The following is a 955-nucleotide window of genomic DNA, read 5'->3' as shown; positions in this document are numbered from 1 at the left end:
AATGTTGTGAACCAATTTGCATTTTTAAAGGATCAAACAGAGACTACATGGAACACTGAGAGTAAAGGGATAACATTATATCTAACAACAAAAAGGGCAATTTAAAAAAGCATATCGGAAAGGGATATGGAATGACATTGGACATTGAGGTATCATTGGAAATGGAAATTTGGAACCAGAGTGTTATCCAAGTAAACTATTAAGGAATAAATGGATAATCCACTTCTAAGAACTAGAAGTTGATTCTGATAACACAGATAATTCTTACGTTTATAGAGAAGAAGAGACAGAAAGAGGTGGGGCCAAGATGGCCAAATAAAAGCAGCGGCCTTCGGAGGCTCCCATTGAAAAAGATCCTAATAAGCACGTGAATCCTTCACTGACAACAAAGGTATCCAGGTTCTCTCTTCAAAATTGACTAGAAGGCTGGCATGACCCACGGAGAGAAGGAAGAACAGTATGGTGCGGTGGCCCACCGGAGAGTCACACAGGGCAGGGAAAGTCCCTAGGGGACTTTCCCCAGCCAAAAGAGGCAGTGACTGAGCATGCTAACCAGGCAGGGAAACTGTGCTTTTTCCACAGAACTCCACAACCCAAAGATCAAAAGATCCCACTTGCAAACCTAGCATCCCAACACCAGAACCCGCAGATTCTTACAGCCTCTCAGCTAGAATCTGCATAAGCCTAGGGAAATCCCAGAAGCAGGGGCATCCAGTATCGGACTGCAGCTTCCTGCTGTCTAAGTGATTTGAGCTCCTTGGGGGAGGGGCAGCAGCCAGCACTGGGACTAGCAACTGCCTAACAGGCTAAGCTCCCTGGGTTGGGGAAGGGTGGCACATATCTCTACAGCTCTAGGCTGTGCTTTTCCCCAGCTGGAGCCAAAGAGGCTGGATGGCTTAGTCCAAAGACTTGTCTCCCACAGCCCAACGCACTGGCTGTGGCAGTCTGTGGCCAG

The 955-nt window shown here is 47.1% G+C and overlaps 1 annotated feature.

The window, feature by feature from the left end:
- Positions 434 to 753: an enhancer, noted in NCBI's record as "active region_4551". NCBI's record gives its function as "activates an Ori minimal core promoter by ATAC-STARR-seq in GM12878 lymphoblastoid cells {active_cell/tissue: GM12878}" and the evidence as "EXISTENCE:reporter gene assay evidence [ECO:0000049][PMID:35858748]".

The sequence above is a fragment of the Homo sapiens genome, chromosome 11, assembly GCF_000001405.40.
Source record: "Homo sapiens chromosome 11, GRCh38.p14 Primary Assembly".
Lineage (NCBI taxonomy): Eukaryota > Metazoa > Chordata > Mammalia > Primates > Hominidae > Homo > Homo sapiens.
The sequence above is the reverse complement of the archived record's forward strand: the minus strand, read 5'-3'. Positions and strand labels throughout refer to the sequence as shown.